This window comes from Homo sapiens, chromosome 9, assembly GCF_000001405.40.
Source record: "Homo sapiens chromosome 9, GRCh38.p14 Primary Assembly".
Classification (NCBI taxonomy): Eukaryota; Metazoa; Chordata; class Mammalia; order Primates; family Hominidae; genus Homo; species Homo sapiens.
The window spans coordinates 93,849,695-93,869,968 of record NC_000009.12 but is presented as its reverse complement, the minus strand read 5'-3'; the positions used below and the strand labels follow the sequence as shown (position 1 = coordinate 93,869,968).

The 20,274-nt window shown below is 46.5% G+C and overlaps 1 long non-coding RNA gene across 2 annotated transcripts in view; it reads right to left on the bottom strand.

Annotated features, from left to right (window-relative positions):
- The window catches only part of LOC101928014 (uncharacterized), a 49,991-nt gene continuing 41,346 nt past the window's right edge, over nucleotides 11,630-20,274 (bottom strand). For both annotated transcript variants that reach the window (NR_188448.1, NR_188449.1), the window contains exons 3-4: nucleotides 12,719-12,961; nucleotides 11,630-11,858 (exon numbers count right to left, since the gene is read on the bottom strand). This is a non-coding gene — a long non-coding RNA (uncharacterized LOC101928014). The remainder of the gene's footprint in view (nucleotides 11,859-12,718; nucleotides 12,962-20,274) is intronic.

Below are 20,274 nucleotides of genomic sequence, written 5' to 3'. Positions count from 1 at the left end.
AGTGAACAGAAGGCCCTAGGCAAGGCTTGGATTTTGGGGGCTCTCTCTGCACATCCATGTCCACTCCACCTGCGCCCATGAGTTCTCACTGGTTGCTCATGGGCATGAACTCCCCAGAGCCCTGGGTTCCTGATGAAAATGTGTGGAGTGGCCTCTGGCCAGGAGTGGTGCCTGTTGCATAGATCAGAAAACCCCTGGCCCAGTGAGAAGCTCCTGGAAGTCCCAGGAGACTGTGGCCATCGTGACATCCTTGTACTCCACTCTGACAGTATTTCACAGGGTCTGTGCCTTTTGTGTGTAAAATGGCAGCTGTTATTTTCATCTGGGCCTGTTACCCAGTGCCCTCAGTTGGCGGGGAGTCACCCCTACCGGCTGGCCAGGCAGCCCTCTAATTTAAATTTCGGACTTGTTCCCTTGTTTCCAAATCCCTCCCCAGGAGGCCCCCATTCCTATGCGTTTGGTGTTTCCTTTTGTCTGGAATTTGTTTCTTGAACACATGTTGTTTTGTGCCTGTGAGTTTTTCATGTCGGTATTTTGCTTTTTCTGTTCAGCCCTGTGTCTGCAAAGTTCATCATTGCCCGTTACTGCCATCTGGCCCTCTGAACAGTGCATCAGTTGAATGTCACCGTCCACTGTGCTGGTCACTCAGCTCCTGCTGATCCCTGCAGGGCTGGACTCACAACTTTCTCCTTGTCCCCTCTGTGCGAAGTGAGTGCATTCTTTAACATAACAAGGCCATTGGTGCTCTGCCCAGAACAAAGGCCTGCACACAGCATCTGATGTGATTTGTTTTGAGCAATCGGCAACCAGGCTTCCAGTGAAAAGTTTGAGAGCAAATTTGGGTCTGAAAATGAAAACTCATAGGGCCAGTGTGACCAAGTGAGTGATACACACATACATATGCACACACACAAATACATGCCTTGTATGGACACATAATACACACAAGTGCACACACACCATATATGCGTGTACACACATGTACACGCACATACATACATGTGCACACAGAAAACAGATACAATAATATACTCATAAAAACATACAGATAGACATACCCACACACACACACATGTGTAAATGTGCACATATACACATACCCACATAAATACACATTCACATTCACACATGTAAAACCTAAATATATAATATACATATACATGCACAAATGCATACAAACTTTTGCATAGCCATACATTTATACATGCATACATATTACAGACATGCATGCACACACATGCATACATAGGACAAACATGTACACACACACATATACACATATGTATGCACACACATATACATACATACTGCTCTTGCCATCTTCATCATCTTTTTTTCCATCCCCTCCCTTTGTGTCTCACCAGTGCTGGGCTATCAGCTCATCTCCCTGAGGCTCCCTTGTAAGCCTGGGGCAAATTTATTACCACCTTACAGATGAGAAAACTGAGGCCCCATATGAACAAATGCTCAGGGTCACACAGCCATAAAGGTTGGTGTCAGGGTTTGGTGTGGTACATGATCATCCAGTGCTCAAACCCCCATGGCTCCATTCAGAACTGAGGGACAGTGAGTTCTGCAGACGTTCCATACACAGATGCCCTTAGGGGCATCCTTGAGCTCCACTGTGTGTCAGGCTCTGGGGACAGATGGCTCCTCCCTCAGAAGGGTTGGAGTCTGAGGGACATGGGCTCTGGGAACAGAGACTGCACAGGACAGACATGGGCAGCAGGCACTGATGACAGATTTGTTGCAGATGTGAGTGGTGGTCTCAGGCTTGTTTGAGTGGTTGGGGAGACATACATCAAAACACAATGTGCACCTGTAATCCCAGCACTCTAGGAGGCCGAGGCGGGTGGATCACCTGAGGTCAGGAGTTCACGACCAGCCCGGCCAACATGGTGAAACCCTGTCTTTAGTAAAAATACAAAAATTAGCTGGGCATGGTGGCACACGCCTGTAATCCCAGCTACTCAGGAGGCTGAGGCAGGAGAATCACTTCAACCGGGGAGGTGGAGGCTGCGGTGAGCTGCGATCGTGTCACTGCACTCCAGCCTCGGCGACAGAGAGAGACTCCATCTCAAAACAAAAAACAAAAGCAAACAAACAAAAACCACAATGTGCAATATCATTAATCATCAGGGAAATGCAAATCAAAATCACCATGAGGTATCATCTCACTCCAGTTAGAATGGCCATTACCAAAAAGACAAAAGGCAACAAGTGCTGGTGAGGACGTGGAGAAAAGGGAACTCTTATACACTGTTGGTGGGAATGTAAACTAGTACAGCCATTATGGAAAACAGCCTGAGTTCCTCAAAAAAATTAAAAATAGAACTACCATATGATCCAGCAATAAAACCAGTATGTTGAAGAGATCTCTGCACTCCCACATTTATTGCAGCATTATTCACAACAACAACCAAGATATGGAGTCAATCTAAGAGTCATCAGTGGTTGAATGGATACAGAAAATGTGGTACATACATGCAATGGAATACTATTCAGCCATAAAAAGAAGGACGTCCTGTCATCTTGGCAACGTGGATGAACCTGGAGGACATTATGTTAACCGAAATACTCCAGACACAGAAAGACAGATACCACATAATCTTGCCCATATGTGGAATCTAAAAAGGAAAAAAAAGTTGATAATCATAGAAGCAGAGAGTAGAACAGTGGTTACCAGAGACTGGGGAGGGAAGAGAGTGGGGAGGATGGGGAGAGGTTAGTCAACAGGTACAAAGTTACATTTAGAGAGAAGAAATGAGTTCTGGTGTTCTATTGCATAATAGGGTGCCTATGGTAAAGAGTATTGCATTTTCCAAAATAGCTAGAAGGGGGTCTTTTGAATGTTCTCACCACAAAGAAATGATAAATGCATAAGGTGATGGATACATTAACTACCCTAATTGGATCATTATACAACATAGATATACATCAAAACATCAAAATGCACCCTATAAATACGTACAATTACAATGTGTCAATTAAAAAATAAAGTTTGTCATTTAAACAAAAAAGAGCATGTAGTTCGAATTATTAAAATTCAATCTGATGACATTTGTCTTTTATGGAAGCATTTGGCCCATGTACATAGAATGTAATTACTGGTATAGCTGGGCTTTAATTTTCCATCTTATTTTCTGCTTTTTATTTGTGGTCCGTTCCATATTTCTTTTCTGTTATTCCTTTGAATTGATTATTTTTAGCATTTCATTTTTTCCACCACTAGTTTGAAAATTATATACCATTTTTCTTTTGAGATTACTCTAGAAATTACAATATGTATTATTTCCCAAAGTCTAACATTAATAACTATTTTTATTCCTTGTAAATAATGTTAAGATCTTACAACACTTTAATTATCTTAACCTGATAGTTAACCTTAATGAATAACGTTATTCATGTGCCCTTTTTATTTAAAAAACTATTTTATAATTGTGAAATATATCAAACGTGGGTAAGCATATGTAATGCATGAGGATGTTTTAAAGAAGAAAAATTAAAGGAAAACTCAAACATCCCTAAGCCCAAAAAATAAAGCTTTTAAAACCTGACAAACCCGCCCTCACCATGATGTGGGGGATATAGATTCAGGATTGGGGGTTTAGGAGGTCGGAGGGCGCAGAGGAGATGCTTCCTGGAAGTGACCTTAGAAGGCAGGAGTGAGGCTGCAGGACCTGCCCCCAACTCCCCCTCCCTAGCCCCCACTGGGCAAGGGGGTTGAAGGCTCAAGGGAGCTGCCAGAGAGGAGCACGGAGGTTCTGCTGACACTCCACCGTAGGGCTGGTTCTGGGCTGGGGCCGTCAGGAAATCTCTTTCAGGCTCACTAAAATGGGTGCTGAAGGAAACTGGTCTTTTACGTTACACTGCTGCAATGTTCAATGTTCTTGTTATTTGAGTAGCACGAGGGCCTGCAGAGGCCTCTGGCTCCATTCCTGGAGCAGCCCCAGAGCCTGCTGCTCACAGGTGAGGCCAGGGCCCCATGAGGGTCCCGCTGTCTGAATCGCAGAGCCCAGCAAGTGGAGAGTGCCTCCCTGGAGGGCCTGGGCACCTGGGGGACAGGAGCGTCCCTTGGAAGGGCCTGGGGCCCCCATGCCTGCACCATGTCCCTGCACCCTGCAGCTCCCCTGCCTGCAGCCCCTCCTGTGCCCACCCCAGTGTCAGGTTCTCAGCTCAGGGACACTGTCCCACCAGGGCAGGGCAGGCAACACACAGCTCTAGGAGCCCAGTCAAGTGGGGGTGGAGAGTGACCCAAGAAAATAAGTAAATTCTGTGTGTGTTGGGGGGCACAGTGAAGCAAAATTGCAGGGCCTTGGGCCCACAAGAGGCCCCTCTGAAAAGGTAACATTCGGTGGTGACGGAGGGGTCAGAGGTATGGTCTCTGGGACGTTGTGGGGCCGGCTTCTCTCTGAGATGGCCATGGAGGGTCTAATCTGAGGAGGGATGGTCAGGCTTGGGTGGCCACAGTGGAGACAGGCTGTGGGGGTGCGGGGAGCCAGGGCCTGAGAGGCGGCAGCTGCCACTGTCCAGGATGGGGATGAGGGCTTGACTGGTAGAATTGCAGAGTCTGAGGCCAAGTGGGCAATGGTGAGTGGGGAAGGGAGCAGACACGCTGAGGCCTGTGGCCTGGAGAGGTGGGGCTGACATGCCTGAGATGGACCAGGCAGGTTTCTGGGGAAGAAGATGGACTTTTAACACAGTCCTGCAACATTTCCCCTCCCTATAAAGCCTTCCATTTTCTGGAAGCCTTCTGTTTGTCCACCTGTGGTCCCTGCAGAGATCCCTGGGGATGGGAAGCCAACAAGAGCTGCCTCAGTGAGGAAGGCCCAGGTCTGGTCAGGTGAGATGGCTGGGTCCTGCCGTCACCCACTCATGGCCTGCCTCTAGCAGCATTGCCCTCTCTGCGCCTTGCCCTCCTCTTAGCCTAGCAGATCGGGGCAGTCACTCCTCTGTGCAGTGAGGGCCATGCAGACAGCAAGAGGGTTTCATCCCTGTGCCTGCGCGTCCATGGTTCCTCTGCGTGAAATGCTGTTCTTGCCACCTCCATGTGGCCGGTTCCTATTGCTCCTCCCAGACTTCACTCAAATGAACTTCATCACCTCCACGCAGCCCGCCCTGACTTCTCCCACCCCCACCTAAAGACCATGAGCCTTCTTGTGAGCCTCCCAAATGCTTTGTTCATCCTCCACTGCTGCAATCCCCCACCCCTAGGTGAATACTCCTCTGAATCCCCTGGGTAGAAAAGGAAGGAGGAGGGGGAGCCAGGCTCTTTGCAGGGTATGTGTAAGGGGACAGTTGGAGAGACAGAGATGAGAGAGAGAGATGAAGAGACAAAGAGGGAGAATCAGTCAGACAAGGAGAGACAGAGAATCGTACAAGGAGAGAAATACAGAGAAAATCAGAGAGCAGAACACCGACACACAGAAACTGAGGCCAAGATGACAAAGTAAAAGAACCACAAGCAGGTCCAGAGAGTGAAAGACAGAAAAAAGAAAGAAGAGATGCAGGGTGAGACAAAGGGAGACAGAGTAGAAGAAAGGGCTAGAGAGAAAGGGGAGAGAGAGAAGCTGGTGAGAAGGTGGAGGAGTGGGGAGAAGGGAGGGGAGGAGGAGGAGTGGGGGAAGGGGCCCGGCCGGTTGGGCTGGGTGTCTCCTGGGGACGCTGACCCCACCGCAGGCGGACCAGCCCACTCACCTCCCAGCTGAGCTCAGATTTCAGGGCTTGGAGCTCACGCAGATTCAGTAACAAATGCATGTGTAACGCATTATGAAGAAAGCCTTAAAAAGCCCTCGTTTATCGCTGTTTACGTTATGTGATTGAGGGGAGAATTTGCCAAGACCAAAGGTTACTGCTGGTGTTTCTGTGACGAATATTACCTCAAACTAAAGCAATTAGCTTCAAGGAACGGTGCATTGTCTTTGGGAGGGTTTTCAAGAGCGAACCCCATAATGTGCCCTGATGGATTTCAACGCTACCAATGTCTCCACGTGGCGCACAACCCACACAATGCACAATCTGCCGTTTTGCTCACAGACTTTCCATGGGAGCTGGGTCGGGCCACGTGGCCTCCATGCGCCTCAGCTTCCCTTTCTATAGAATGGGGAGGGGCCTAGACTGGACCCAGACGTTCCGGGTCTCCCCGTGGCCTGTGTGGTCTGTTTCCATTGGTTTCTGCACCCCGTGCTGTGCCTTTGGCTTTCCCTCCGCCGAGGCTGTTTCTGCTCACAGTTTGGCTGATCAAATCTTTTCTTGAGACAATTATGGAAATTGCCTGAATGGTAATTAGCGAATGGTAATTAGTAAATGTTCTCCGTTCTTCCAAAGAGGACAGGCCTAAGAAATCTGCCCATGGGCCCCTCTTTTCCCTAGCTTCCCAGGCTGGGAGGCAGGGCCTTATGCACCCTCAAACCTGACTGGGCGCCCCTGCTTCCCCATCTGTAAGTACAGTGATGATGGCACCTACATTGCAGGGAGCTGCGACAGAGGGTACCAAGAGTTTCTAACAGTTCCCAGGACACAGGTGGCACTAGTTGAGTGTTGTACCTGCTGCTACCACATTGCTACCTCAGCCAATCAGACTTCCCAGGATTAGGGTATTGGAGAGAGGCAAGAGAACCCGCTGTGCTCCCTGGGTCCAGCACCTGCTGCCTGCTCCTCACTTCCTATCCCAGGCACTTTGCAAACCAACTAGCTGAAGTCACGAAGCTGTTGTATCACACCACACCCCCCTTCGTCCCCCACTGAAGGTGAGAGGTGAAGCCAGCTGGATTTCTGGGTCAGGTGGGGACTCAGAGAACTTTGGTCTTACAAGAGGATTGTAAAATGCACCAATCAGCACTCTGTAGCTAGGATTGTAAAACGCACCAATCAGCACTCTGTAGCTAGGATTGTAAAACGCACCAATCAGTGCTCTGTGGCTAGCTAGAGGTTTGTAAAATGGACCAATCAGCACTGTAAAATGGACCAGTCAGCACTCTGTAAAATGGGCCAATCAGCTCTCTGTAAAATGGGCAATCAGCAGGATGTGGGTGGGGACAAATAAGGGAATAAAAGCTGGCCACCACCACCACCACCTTCCCTTCCCCGCACCCCCCCCCCCCCCCCGCAGCTATCAGCCGGCAACCCTCTGGGGTCAATTTTCATGCTGTGGAAGCTTTGTTCTTTTGCTGTTGCTCACTCTTTGGGTCCGTGCCACCTTTAAAAGCTGTAACACCGCGAAGATCCGTGGCTTCATTCTTGAAGTCAGCGAGACCAAGGACCCACCGGAAAGAACCAACTCTGGACACAAAGGCACATCTTTTGCGTTGCAGTAAGCTGAGACTCTGGCCTGACGTGGTTTGGAGGTACCTGGCCCCCAGGCATGCCAAGAGCTAGACTAGCTTCAGAGGGTAGCCAGGCAGCAGGAGTCCACCCCTGCTCCTCCTCTCACTTTCTGTTGGCACTGGGAAGGTCTCTGCTCTCTGGGTTCCTCATTGGAAAACAGGACCAATGGTATCCCTCTCTCATAAGGTTATGGAAAGGGGGCAGTGGATTCTACAGCATGGCACCCAGTAACAGGCACAGAGCAGGCTGTGCACAGTGAGGCCCATGAGTCCTTGATAAGCCCCAGAGCCTGGGGGATCAGGATGGGCCCAGAGGACGCTACAGGAAGGACAAGGCCACCAGGGGATGCATGCTGGTGGGGAAAACCCACTCAAAGGAATGGCACTATCACTGCAGGATCTGGAAACAGCTTTAGATACCAGGGGCCAGGCCTCCAAATTTGGGGAGAGGTCTGGCTGCCTGCCCTCCTACCTCCAGGAGGAGCTGGTGGGCTCCTTCCTGCAGAGGCCCCAGGACAGCCTCACAGCAACATTCCTTCTTGAAACCGCTTCTGAGCCAACTGCAGAGCCTGGAGCTTCAGTTTGTCCCCAATGGAACAGGCAAGACAGTTTTCAGGTGGCATAATGGGCCCAAGTCACAGCTGGGAGCAGGGGACAGAGGCGACTCCGGGATGGGGGCCCTGACAAGGTTCTGTCCACAAAGGGCCACTATTCTGGTCACTGTGACTTCAGCTGTTGGAGACTCACCTCTGCATCCTTCATAGCAAACAGTCTGCCCCAGAGGGTTGTAGAGGGAGGATCAAAACATGCCAGGATGGCCAAGCTCCGCAGCCAGTAGTGGGCAGATGCCACAGGTCCTGGGCAAGAAAGGGGACATCAGGGATCCCCAAACCCACAGCCTGTAGTTTCTTCCTCCCCTGCGATTACCCCATTTTATAGCCGTGGAAACTGAGGCTCAGGGTGGATGTAACCACGCATTCAAGGCTCCAATAGACTTTTGCCAAGTTGCTAAGCGTTTGTCTTACTCGTTTGGGTTTGGAGCCCCCAGCACCAAGTGCACAGCCGGGCAGGTCCTGGAAGCCCAATGGACACCTTCTTGGCATCTCCACATACGAGTATCAAAGGCACCTCAAGTTCCTTCAGTCCCAAGCCAGTGCACGGCTCACTCTGTGTTGGCACACCCCAACCTCTCCTCTGGGACATTTTCTGATCCCGGATGGCAGCCCCCAGAGCCAGGCCCCCAGGCCGCACGCGGTCTCTTGAGAGCCCTGCAGAGCCCCAGGCACTTTCCGCGGGACCACCCAGCACTCAGGAGCCTGTCCATGCTCTCAGTCCCCTCAGCCACCGCCCCCTGGCAGCCCCTGCCACGCCTCCACACCTCTGATTCCACGCTCTCCGGAGCCTCCCTCCACGCAGCAGCCAAAGGGGGCTTTTTGCAGCAAACCGCGGACGTGTCCTCTCGGATGGACTCTACCTTGCTCTCATTGCCCGAGGGTCCCGACCGCTGCCCTCTCAGGCCTCAGGCCTGGATGCCCGGGCCCTTTCCCACCTCCCCAGCGACTTAGCTCCAGGCTCGCCGCGCTGCCCCGGCCCTCCGCACCGCCCCGGCTCCTGCCTTAGGGCCTGGGGACAGACGCCCCTGCTGGATCCTGCCCCCCAGCGGCCCCGCCCCGCCCTCCGCTAGGCTCCAGGCTCGACCCACGTGGGTTGATCACCCCCTCCGTGTCACGCCGCCTCCCCCTGTTTGCATGCTGGCAGCACTGCATGGCCCGATTTGTGCAATCCTTTGCTTCCCCGTAGCGCCGCCGCTCCCCGGGCTGTGTGCTCAGTACACCAGGGTGCCCACCCAAGAGGGACAGCCTGGGCTTCACGGCTAATGGCCAGGAGGGTGCCGGGCTCCAGGAGTGTCCACACTGGTCCTCAGACCCCAGCCCAGGGTTGGCCTCAGCACTGCCAGCCCCTCCTGGGTCAGTGACCACAAACCCTGTAACCCGAGGACACACGGAGGGACCCGGCAACCAGTCACAACTTCACTTCCCCCTCCAGATGAAGGCAGCTAATTCCTCAAGGTCGCCTGTTCACCTCGGCATAAAGCACCCATTCTTCCTCAGCGTGGGGATCGGGTGGGAAAATATTTTCCAAAGGTCAGTTTTCCAATTATACTTAAAATTTGAAAGTTCATTTTTTTTTTTTTTTTTTTTTTGCCTCCCCTCGGTGCAGCCGCGTTCTGCTAATTTCATAAAGATACCATTTAGCTGAGGTAGGTGGGATTCTGGGCATCAGAACAGCTTCCCAACATCAACAGCCAGCCGTAACCGTAACTACCGACTTCCCATCATTTGTGGGGAAAAAAACGTTTTTCTCCCCAAAAATTATGGCCTGTAGGAACCAGACAACATCCCCATTGCCCGGCGGGAAATTACAGAGATTTTCTTATGTACTTAACATTAAGCCCAAGTTTATAAAGTCTACTCGGTTTTAATGACCTGCTCACGGGCCGCCCTGGCCGCTGGGGATGAGGGGCTGTTTGAGGCCATAGCTTTGGTGTGGGGTGATGTGTCTGAATCCCCAAGTCACAGGATGGTAGCCCGGGGTGTCTGGGGGCTGGATCCCTAAACAGGGCCATGCAGCTCTGAGGGCAGGTGCAGGGGCTGGGACCCCCAGGCTGGGATGGCCCTACATGCAGCAGCCTCACTCAGTGGCTGAGGTACCAGTCCCAGAGGGGACACAGACGACAGACAGAACTGTCTCTCGAAGGGCTTCTGCCCTTCCCCTCTAAGATGAGGACACCAAAGCACTGCTTCCTGGGTTGCCATGAGAATGAAATGAGGGAATGCAATGGAGATAGCATCAGAGGCTGTGGGTGTCAGTCAGGTGGCGGGGCGGGGGGAGTCCAGGAAGGCTGGCTCCAACCAGGAAGGGTGGCCAAGCTTTTCTGGGATGGGAGGGCAGGATGGACCCCCTACCTCCAGGGCTCTCTCATTACCTTTGCCCAGGCTGTGCCAAGGCCCCTCTAAGAGTGAATTGGGCTTGAGGTGGCTCCCTCTAGGGCCCAAGGAGGCACCCAGCACAGCTAAGCTGAGCAGAGGACCAGGAGAGGCAGCTGGCAAGAAGTCAGAAACGAGGGCCCTGTTAGGGGCCAGGCTGGAGTCTGTACCTGGAGGATGGGGTGCAGGGGGAGTGATGGGCCTCTCTCCTGTGGGGGCCAGGGAGGGCTTGACGCAGGTGTGTGTGAGGTGCAGGGTTCAAACGAAACCCACGGAGAGTCCGGCAGGGGTGTGGGTACAAATACCAGGCCTGGTGCATAGGTCTTACCCCAGCTACAGGGCTGAGGCACCTGCCTAGCCCAGCAGGGGCGGGAGCGAGACTCTTGACCAATTTACAGGCTCAGAGATGCCAGTAATACCAGTGTTTAGAAGAAGCTGGGCATCTGGCTTTTGATGTGAAATGCCCTCCTTTTTCAAGTCTAGCACCCATTTACCATACTTTTTGGGCACATCAGACCACAGGGGACTTCGGGCCTCTTCTGTTCTCTCATTTCCTGTCCTTCCCCCACTCCCACACCCCAGCCACCACTTTGAGTTCCCTGTTCCTGCCTCAGGGCCTTTGCACTTGCTGTTTCCTCTGCCTGGGACACCCTTAACCCATCACTGCAGGGCCAGCTCCTTCTCCCCTCAGAGGTCCCTGGCCATTGTCACAATGCCACTGCACATTTGTTTTCTTCCCAGCCCTGACCTCAGTTTGACATAATATTATGCACAGTGCTGACTGGCTTGAGTGTTTACTGTGTTTCCCCCACAGCACAGTAAGCTCCTGAAGGCAGGGACTTAGCTGATTTGTTCACCGCATTGCTCTCAGTGCCTGAACAGTAGGTGCATGATACATAGTAGGTGCTTAATAAAATCCTAGCAAATACACAAACAAATAAGCACATGACCTTTCCACCACCTCCCCCCCATGGCTGGCAGCACCCTCTGCCCCTCATCATTCCACACTCCTCCCCTGACCTTGGGCACCTCTATCACTGGGTCCTGAGCTGAGTCCTGCAGGAAGGGTTTCCTGCTCTAGAGGGAGAAAGGGGCCAGCCTGGGGTGACTTTGCTGGAAGTCCTTCCTGCCCTACCCTGTCTTACTTTGCTTTCAGAGCTATTCACCATCTGAAATGTTTGGGTTTACCAAACATGTCTGTTCAGAAGTCCAGAAGCAGAACCGGCCTTAGCACATCTGGGGGATGGTCAGGAGGTCAGTCTGTATGTCTGGGCACTGGTGTGAGGGCTCTGATGGAAGTGGCAAGGTCACTGGGGCTGTGGGCACAGTGAAGAGTTGAGATTTTATTCTAGGGAGCCATTGATGGGTCTATATCAAATATGGCGAAATATAGAGAGGAGTACAGAGAGAAATCTGATGGACCAGATCTGTGTCCTCAAGCAGCATCCAGGTGGTGAAGGTGTGCAAGTAGAACAGATACATTTCTTGGCAATGTCTGTGGTTGTCCAAATACAAACACCCAAGGTATGGACCTGTCTTCAAAGACCTAAGATTCAAAGGAGGAAGACAGATAGGCAAATAGAATAAACATTAATTAACTCCCACATTGACATATCCACCCACCCATCCATCATCCACCTATCCATCCACCCATCATCCACTTACCCATCTACCTACCCACTATCCATTATGCACTGATCAGCTCTCCTACCCTTCCTGGTCAGGGTTCCCAGCTGAACATTTGAAAATGGAAAAGATATTGGGCCCTTTTCTCAATGGGCTCACAGTAGAGGGAAAGATTGATAAATAACCTCATAGTTCCCTTTCAGCAGGATTGCTGTGATGACCATGAGAAGGAAGGGCCAAGGGTGGCAAAGAAGAGGAATGACTCACTTTGCCTGGCTTATCAGAGGGCAGAATGGAGCATGGTATATCAGAACAGGGTTTTGAAGGATGAATAGGAGCTTGTCAGATGGACATTGGAGGGAATTTTTTCTGTGTGGTAAAACATATTGTGGAAGCCTGAGAAGGCAGGAAAGAACCAGAAGTGTTCACACAAAATGTTTAGCTTTGGAAGGGTGGGGGCAGAGGCACATGAGATCAGTGGAGGGAGAAGTCACTGGAGATGGAGTGAGACCAACTTATGGAGAATGTTGTGCTCTGGGTGAGGAGCTTGGACCTTGTCCTGTCAGTAGTGGGGAGCTGGGTGGGGGCATGGCCAGGGAATGGGCAGGCTAACATTTTACAAAGGTCATGATGGGGGCTAACAGGCAGAGACCAGAAAGGACAAAACAACATAAAATCATCCTTCCCAAGCATGTTAATAAATGACCTCTCATTTTTATCCTCAAGGAACACATTTCCCCATTCTGTGATAAGAAGACAGTTTTAACAGGAATGAGATACCTAAGGTAGCAAAGGAGTAGAAGCAGCACTGAGATTGGAAGGCAGATTCTGTGAGTCCAAATGCACCCATCATGGCAACTCCTAACAGCTTCCTGGAGGCTCCCAGGCTGTACTGAAGGACTTGGCTTCGCTGGCCTCCTGGCTGTCTGGACAATCCCCTGCGCTTACTCTTCCAAGATGGGAATTCCAGTGGGCAAAAGGCAACATCCCAGGCTCTGGACCAAAGGTTCTGTTACTGTAGCACTGAGTGGGGAGGACAAAAATAAAAAAACATTTTTGAGCACTTACATGATAGTATGGACTTGTAGAAGGCACTCTAGAGGAGCAATTTCATTCAATTCTCAAAGCTGTCTTATGAGGGAAGGATTATCCTCTTTATTTTGCCTGTAAGAAACTGGAGATCAGAGAGATTAAGTCAGCTTACCCAAAGTCACTGAACTAGTAAGTGGCTGAGCCAGTATGCACACCAAGGGTTAGTTCATTTCAAACTCTCAGACCCCTGGTGAGAGGGAGAGGGAAAGGGAGAGTGGTTGGCAGGCTGTGAGGAGGTAGTGCATAAGCTGAACAGGCAAGTCAGGCACTGCCTGCACTGGGGATGTTTACACCAACATTTGAAGAAGTTAATATAAAAATAATATATACACAAGGTGAAAAATTTAAATATAAAATTTGAACAATAAAGAGGGAGTTTGTACCTCCAGCTATGGTCACGATGGAGTACAGAGTATCAGATTTACCCTACCCATAAGCAGCATAAGCAGCTGTAAAACTAGACCAAATATATATGAAGCAACTACCTTCAAGCATTGGGCAGCAGAGAAAGCAGAGCTGTGATTCTCGGGAGAAGGAAACACACAGGCGAGCCCTGCATTTGCTCTGGCTTTTTGCCTGGGAGCATTTTTCAAACTGTGGCACAGGGATATAAACCTACAAAGCAAGCTCCATGGGCAGAGGAAAGACTGGAGGTTGGGACTTCTGAGGCAGACGGAGTTTGAAGGGCAGAGTACTGGGAAGGAGGAAGCTATGCAGAGTAGTAGAATTCTGTACAGAAGAACTGAGTCTCTAGCAGAATGCTAAGCTGCAAATGCATTAAGGTGAGATTCTGCGAGATTTAGCAGAGAACCACTGCTAGATGGTTGAGAGGTAAATGGAGATTCTAGAGGCTGGACAATTCTTGGAGACATTGGAATTCTGCCCAGCCAGTGTGAAGGGCTATTCTAGGCCCACCATAAAAAGCCTAACAAGTACCAATCATTTTCTAGTAAACTAAGTGCCTGTCAGAAAACTAGTCAACACTCTTTAAACAACACCCAGGCTCTCAATATCATAGCATCCACAATGTTTAAAATGCAACAAAAAATTACCAGATATGCAAAAACAAAACCAAAAAACAGGGAAAGGGGAACCCAAAACCAGGAGGAAAAAAAGTCAACATAAAGAGATAGAAATAAATAGTTTGTTGGATTGACAGAGAAAAACTTTAAGTAATCAGTTATACTATGCTCAAGAATTTAAAGAGGGGAATGGACACAATGAGTGAACAAATGAGAAATCTCAGTAGAGAAACTGAAACTACAGAAATGGATCAAGTGGAAATTCAAGAACTGATAAATAACATATTTGCAAAGTGAAATTTGGACACGTCAGAAGAAAGGACCAGGCTTGAACTTGAAGACAAGGCAATAGAAGCTATTCAAAATGAAGCATACAGGGGGAAGAGACCAGAAAAAAACAATCTAGAGCCTCAGAGATATGTGGGACAATGTCAATCAGTCTAACATGCATGCAGCTGAGGTCCCAAAAGAAGCAGCAAGAGATTGGGACAGGAAAAAATATTTGAAGAAATATTGGAGAAAATGTTTGAAATTGGATAAAAACTATAAACCCCACAGATGCAAGAAGCTCAATTAAATTCCAGCAGAATAAATAGAAAGAAAACCATACCAGGACTCATCATATTCAGATGGCTAAAAAGCAAAGTTAAAGAGAAACATTTCAGCCAGGCAAAAGACACAATTATAATATGGGGTAGCCAAAGACTTAACAAAAAAACACCAAAACACTGCTGAGTATCAGAAATAAGGCAAGTCAATAGAATGATATCTCTGAAATTCTAAAAGAAAAAAAAACTTGTCAATTTAGAATTCTACAGACTGCAAAAACACCCCTTAAAAATAAAGGAAAAATAAAGATATTTTCTTATGAACAAAAGCTGAGAGAATTCATAACCAGTAGATTTGACCTACTAGAAATGTTAAAAGAAGTTTCTTTGAATTGAAAAGGAATGACATCAGGTGGAAACAGACTTGTATGAAGAAATGAGGAATGTCAGGAATGGTAACTATGGGAAAATGTAAAAGACATGAAAACCAGAGAAAGAGAATCAATTTATAATGCTAAGAGTTAATTCTATAAAAAGACATATTGATGCTAAACACAAACACAACTAATAACAGACACTCAAAATGCAGAGAAGCATTTTGACAGAACTAAATGACAAAACTAATGACAAATAGAATTAACAAACATAGTTGGAGAGTTAACCTTCCTTTCTAAGTAACTGATTAAAAAATAATTATGTAAAGATATAGAACAATTGAACAACATTAAGAACCAGTTAACCAAATTGACATTTACAGAAAACTATATTGGAAATATGCATTTTTTCCAAGTGTACTTGGAACATTCACCAAAACAAGTCTTAATAAAGTAAAATAATTTAAAGCATATAGGATATGTTTTCTAGCCTTAACAGAGTTAAATTAGAAATCTATAACAATAAGATACTAAGGAAACCCTCAAATATTTAAATGTGGCACATTTCTATAGCCTACAGATCAAAGAGGAAATCACAAGGGAAATTAGAAAATGTTCTGAACTAATGAAATTAAAACAGAACATATCAAAATTTGTGGAATGCAGGTAAAGTTGTGCTTAAAGGGAAATTTATAGCTTTACATGCTTATATTAGCAAAGAAGAAAGGCCTAAAATCAATTATCTAAGTAACCAACTTAAGAATCCAGAAAAAGAAGAGATCAAATTCAAAATAGAAAGAAGGAAATAAAGATAAGAACAGAAATCAATGAAATACTGCAAAGCAAAAAATAAATAAATAAATAAAATAAAGAGTAAACAGATGACCTATAAAATGGAAGAAAGTATTTGCAGATTATGCCTCCAACAAAGTACTAATATACAGAATCTACAGGGACTTAAACAACTCAATAAGAAAAAAAAGCCTCATTAAAAACTAGGCAAAGGACATGAATAGACATTTCTCAAAAGAAGAAATACAAGTGGCCAACTAACACATGAAAAAATACTCATCACTAATTACCAGAGAAATGCAAATTAAAATCGCAACGAAATATCATCTTACACCAGTCAGAATGGCTATTAATTAAAAAGTCAAAAAAAAAAAAAAAAAAAAAAACCACAAACAGATGCTGGTGTAAATGCACAGAAAAAGGAAAGTTTATACACCACTGGTAGAAATGTAAATTAGTTCAGCCTGTATGGAAAACAGTATGGAGATTTCTCAAAGAACTAAAAATAGAACTGCCATTTGACCCAGCAATCCCACTACTGGGTAACTACCCAAAGCAAATCATTATGTTAAAAAAAGACACTTGCACTTATATGTTCATTGACTGCAGCGCTATTCACAATAGCAAAGTCATAGAACCAACTTTTAAGTGTTCACTAATGATTGACTGGATAAAGAAAGTGTTACACACACACACACACACACACACACACACACACATCACAGAATACTATGCAGCCATAAAGAAGAATGGACTCATGCCTTTTGTAGCAACATGGATGGAGCTGGAGGCCATTATCCTAAGTGAACTAACTCAAAAACAGAAAATCAAATACCACATGGTATCACTTTGAACTGGGAGCTAAACAATGGGTACACATGGACATAAAGATGGAAATAATAGACACTGAGGGTTCCAAAAGTGGAGAGGATGAGAGGGGGAACAAGGGTTGAAAAATTACCTATCATGTTCAAGGTTCACTGTTTGGATAATGGGTGCAGTAGAAGCCCAATCCCCACCAGTATGTAATATACCCATGTAATAAACATGCACATGTACCCCCTGAATCTAAAATAATAAAATAAAAAGTGAACAAAAATAGAGCAAATCAATGAAATGGAAAGTTGGTTATTTGAAAAGATCTATAAAATTGATCTCTTTCTCTATCTCAACTGTGAATATATCCAATATAATGAACCATTACAACTCAATAAAAATAACCCAATAAAAATGGGTAAAAGGCTTAAAAAAAGAAAATATACTGATGGTCAGCAAAAATGTGAAAGTGCTCCTCACTTTAAAAACAACATGAGATACCACTACTACACACCCACCAGAATAGCTAAAACTAAACAGACAATACAAAGTGTAGGCAAGGGTGTAGAGCAACTGCATACCTCATATATTGCTGATAGGAATGTAAAACAGTAAAATCATGCTGGGAAAGGTTTGGCAGTTTCTCATAAAGTTAAAAGTATATTTACCACATGATTCAGCAATCGGCTCCCAAGCATTGGCCTAGAAGAAATGAAATCACCTATCCATCCAAAGACTTGTATAAAATGTTCATAGAAACTTTGTTAAGAATTCTCCCATGTTGGAAACGACTTAGATTCCCATCAGCAGGAGACTAGATAAAGTGGAGTGCACCCACACAGTGCACCCAGCAACAAAGAGGAGCCAACTGCTGACACATGCAGCAACAGGGATGAATCTCAGAAAAATCGTGTTGAGGAAAAGAAGCCAGATACAGCGGATTCCATAATGTATGACTCCATTTACATGAAAGTGAAAAATAGGGATTTGCATGGCTTGATGCAATGCAGCATGTGTTGAACTCTGTCTGCACCTAGTCTTTTCCACCTCACAATACATCCTGGTCACTGGTCCCTATCAGGATGTTTGGATCTGCCTCTGCCTCTTCATCAGCAGCATGGTGTTCCATTGGGTAAAAGGAGCATAAATTATTTACTGCTGCTATTGGAGGACACAGATCGTTTTCAATCTTTTGTTCTCATGCCACCATAGTGAAACTCATTGTAGGTTTTCTTGTGATTGTTGACAAGTCTAGCTAGCTGGGGACAAACTCCTAGAATGGATGTCTGAGGTCAAAGAATGCACTGACTTTTTCCTTGGGAAGCCAGAACACAGTCCCAGGCAATCTGGGAAGCAAGGGCTCCCCTGGGCCATCTCAAGGTTACAGCCAAGGGCCCTGCATCCAGAACTGCTAGTATGAATAGGCATTATGAGTCACTGACAGCCACCAAGATCATGCTGGCAGCCTCCGGTGACTGCTGAGGTGTACTGGTAATACCCAACTATGGCCATATCATGTACCAGACCTCAGGTGCTCCTGCCCACCTGCAGGTGAGCAGGTAGGAAGTGGGCACAGACACATGGGACAGGATATGCCTAGGACAGAGCCTTGTCTGGACACCAAAGGGGTCTGAGAGGAGTCACAGGTGCCCTACCCCAGAGAGGAGGCAGCCAGAGCCCTATGCAGAGCCCTTCCTGCCAGGTCTCCAACCACCCTGGGCCACAGGGCTGGAGCAGTGACCATGAAAGCCTCCACACTTGTCTCTAGGTCTGGTCCTGCTCCCTCAAACTCTAGCCTTCCAGTCCACACCCACATACCTCCCCAAGGCAATCATTCTTTATACAAATAAACTTATGAAATTAAATTATAAAAAGCCTTCATCTTCTGGGCAAGATGGAATGATAGTACGGATCTACCTTTCTCCCTGAAACAACCTAAAGAATAAACAGGATGTATGAAACAATGGTTTTTCAAGACACTGGACATCAGGCATTGAAGGACAGTGATCTATAAAAGCCAGGAAATAAAGGAGACAAACTCTACAATTACTCCAGATCAGTGCCTTTGAGAGTTTCCAGGCCATGGTATAGAGAGAGGGAACTGCATGGAGTCTCAAGGTCTCACTGACTTGAGAGACAGAGCTAAGAGTCTGGAGAGACTAGGTGGCTAGAGTTTGTAAGACACAGTACTAGAGAGTAGAGAGGTGCACAGATAGAGAACTCCAAAGAACTGTGGAGAGTCTTTCCGAAGTATTCAACAGAGTCTGGATCAGCACATGCATGTGAAGAAACTACTCAAGGATGGAAAAAGAATCACCTGAAAGGATTAGCAGTAACAATACCCAGTACTCACACAGGACCAAGAATAGTGCCTGTACCCACCAGACAGATTGGAAAACGTCATGATTAACAGGGCATTACGTAGACTATGCAGAAAAGTCTTGCCTCATTAGTAGGGAATAATTCGCTCTAGACTGAACACTGCCCTGTCTCCACCTAAGAAAGCTTAAAAGCTTTCTTAAATCATCACACTGTTTCCAAGTAACTTTACTGTGTTTCAGAAAAAAGCTTAATCTTTGCAGGAATAAAAAATCACTCAGCACCCAACAAGGTAAAATTCACAATGACTACCATCCAATAAAAAATTACCAGGCATGAAAAGAAACAGGAATACACAACCCATAATGAGGAGAAAAGTTGATCAATCAAAACTGACCTAGAAGTGACACAAATGCTAGAATTAGCAAAGAAGAATATTAAAACAGTTATTGTAATTGTATTCTGTACGTTCAAAAGGTTAAGACATGGAAAATATAAGAAAGACACCAAATCAAACTTTTTTCTGAAAAAGAAAAACAAAATTGGGGGACAAACACTATCTGATTGCAAAACTTATCATAAAGTCACAGTAATCAAAAACTCTGTCACTGGCAAGATAGAAAATACATCAGTGGAACAGAAAATGTCCAGAAACAAATTATCACAAATATATTTAGCTGAATTTTGACTACAGATAAGGGCAATTCAGTGGAGAAAGGAGAATCTTTCAACAAATGGTGCTGGAAAAATTGGATCAAGTAGGCAAAATACCGAAATTCAACCCAAAATTTATACCCCAAATTTAGTCCCCATATAAAACATACTGAAATGTAAACCTCCAAACTATAAAATGTCTAGAAGAAAACATGGCAGAAAACTTTTTGACCTTGGGCTAGGCAAAGATTTACTAGCTACAACAGCAAGAGCACCATACATAAAATAACACATTGATAACTTCAGCTTCATCAAAATTAAAAACTTTTGCTTTGCAATAGGCACTGTTAATAGAATGAAAAGACAAGCTACAGATTGGGAAAAAAAACTTTGCAAAGGATCTCTCAAAACTAAATAAATAAGAAAAATTCTAATTTAAAAATAGGCAAGAGCTTTGAACAGGCAGTTCACCAGTGAATATATGTGGATAGCAAATAGGCACATGAAAAGGTGCCCAACATTGAACTCATCAGGAGATGCAAATCAAAAACACAATGAAGGTCAGGCAAGGCGGCTCATGCGTGTAATCCCAGCACTTTGGGAGCCCAAGGCGGGCAGATCATGAGGTCAAGAGATCGAGACCATCCTGGCCAACATGGTGAAACCCCCTCTCTACTAAAAATACAAAAATTAGCTGGGTGTGGTGGTATGTGCCTGTA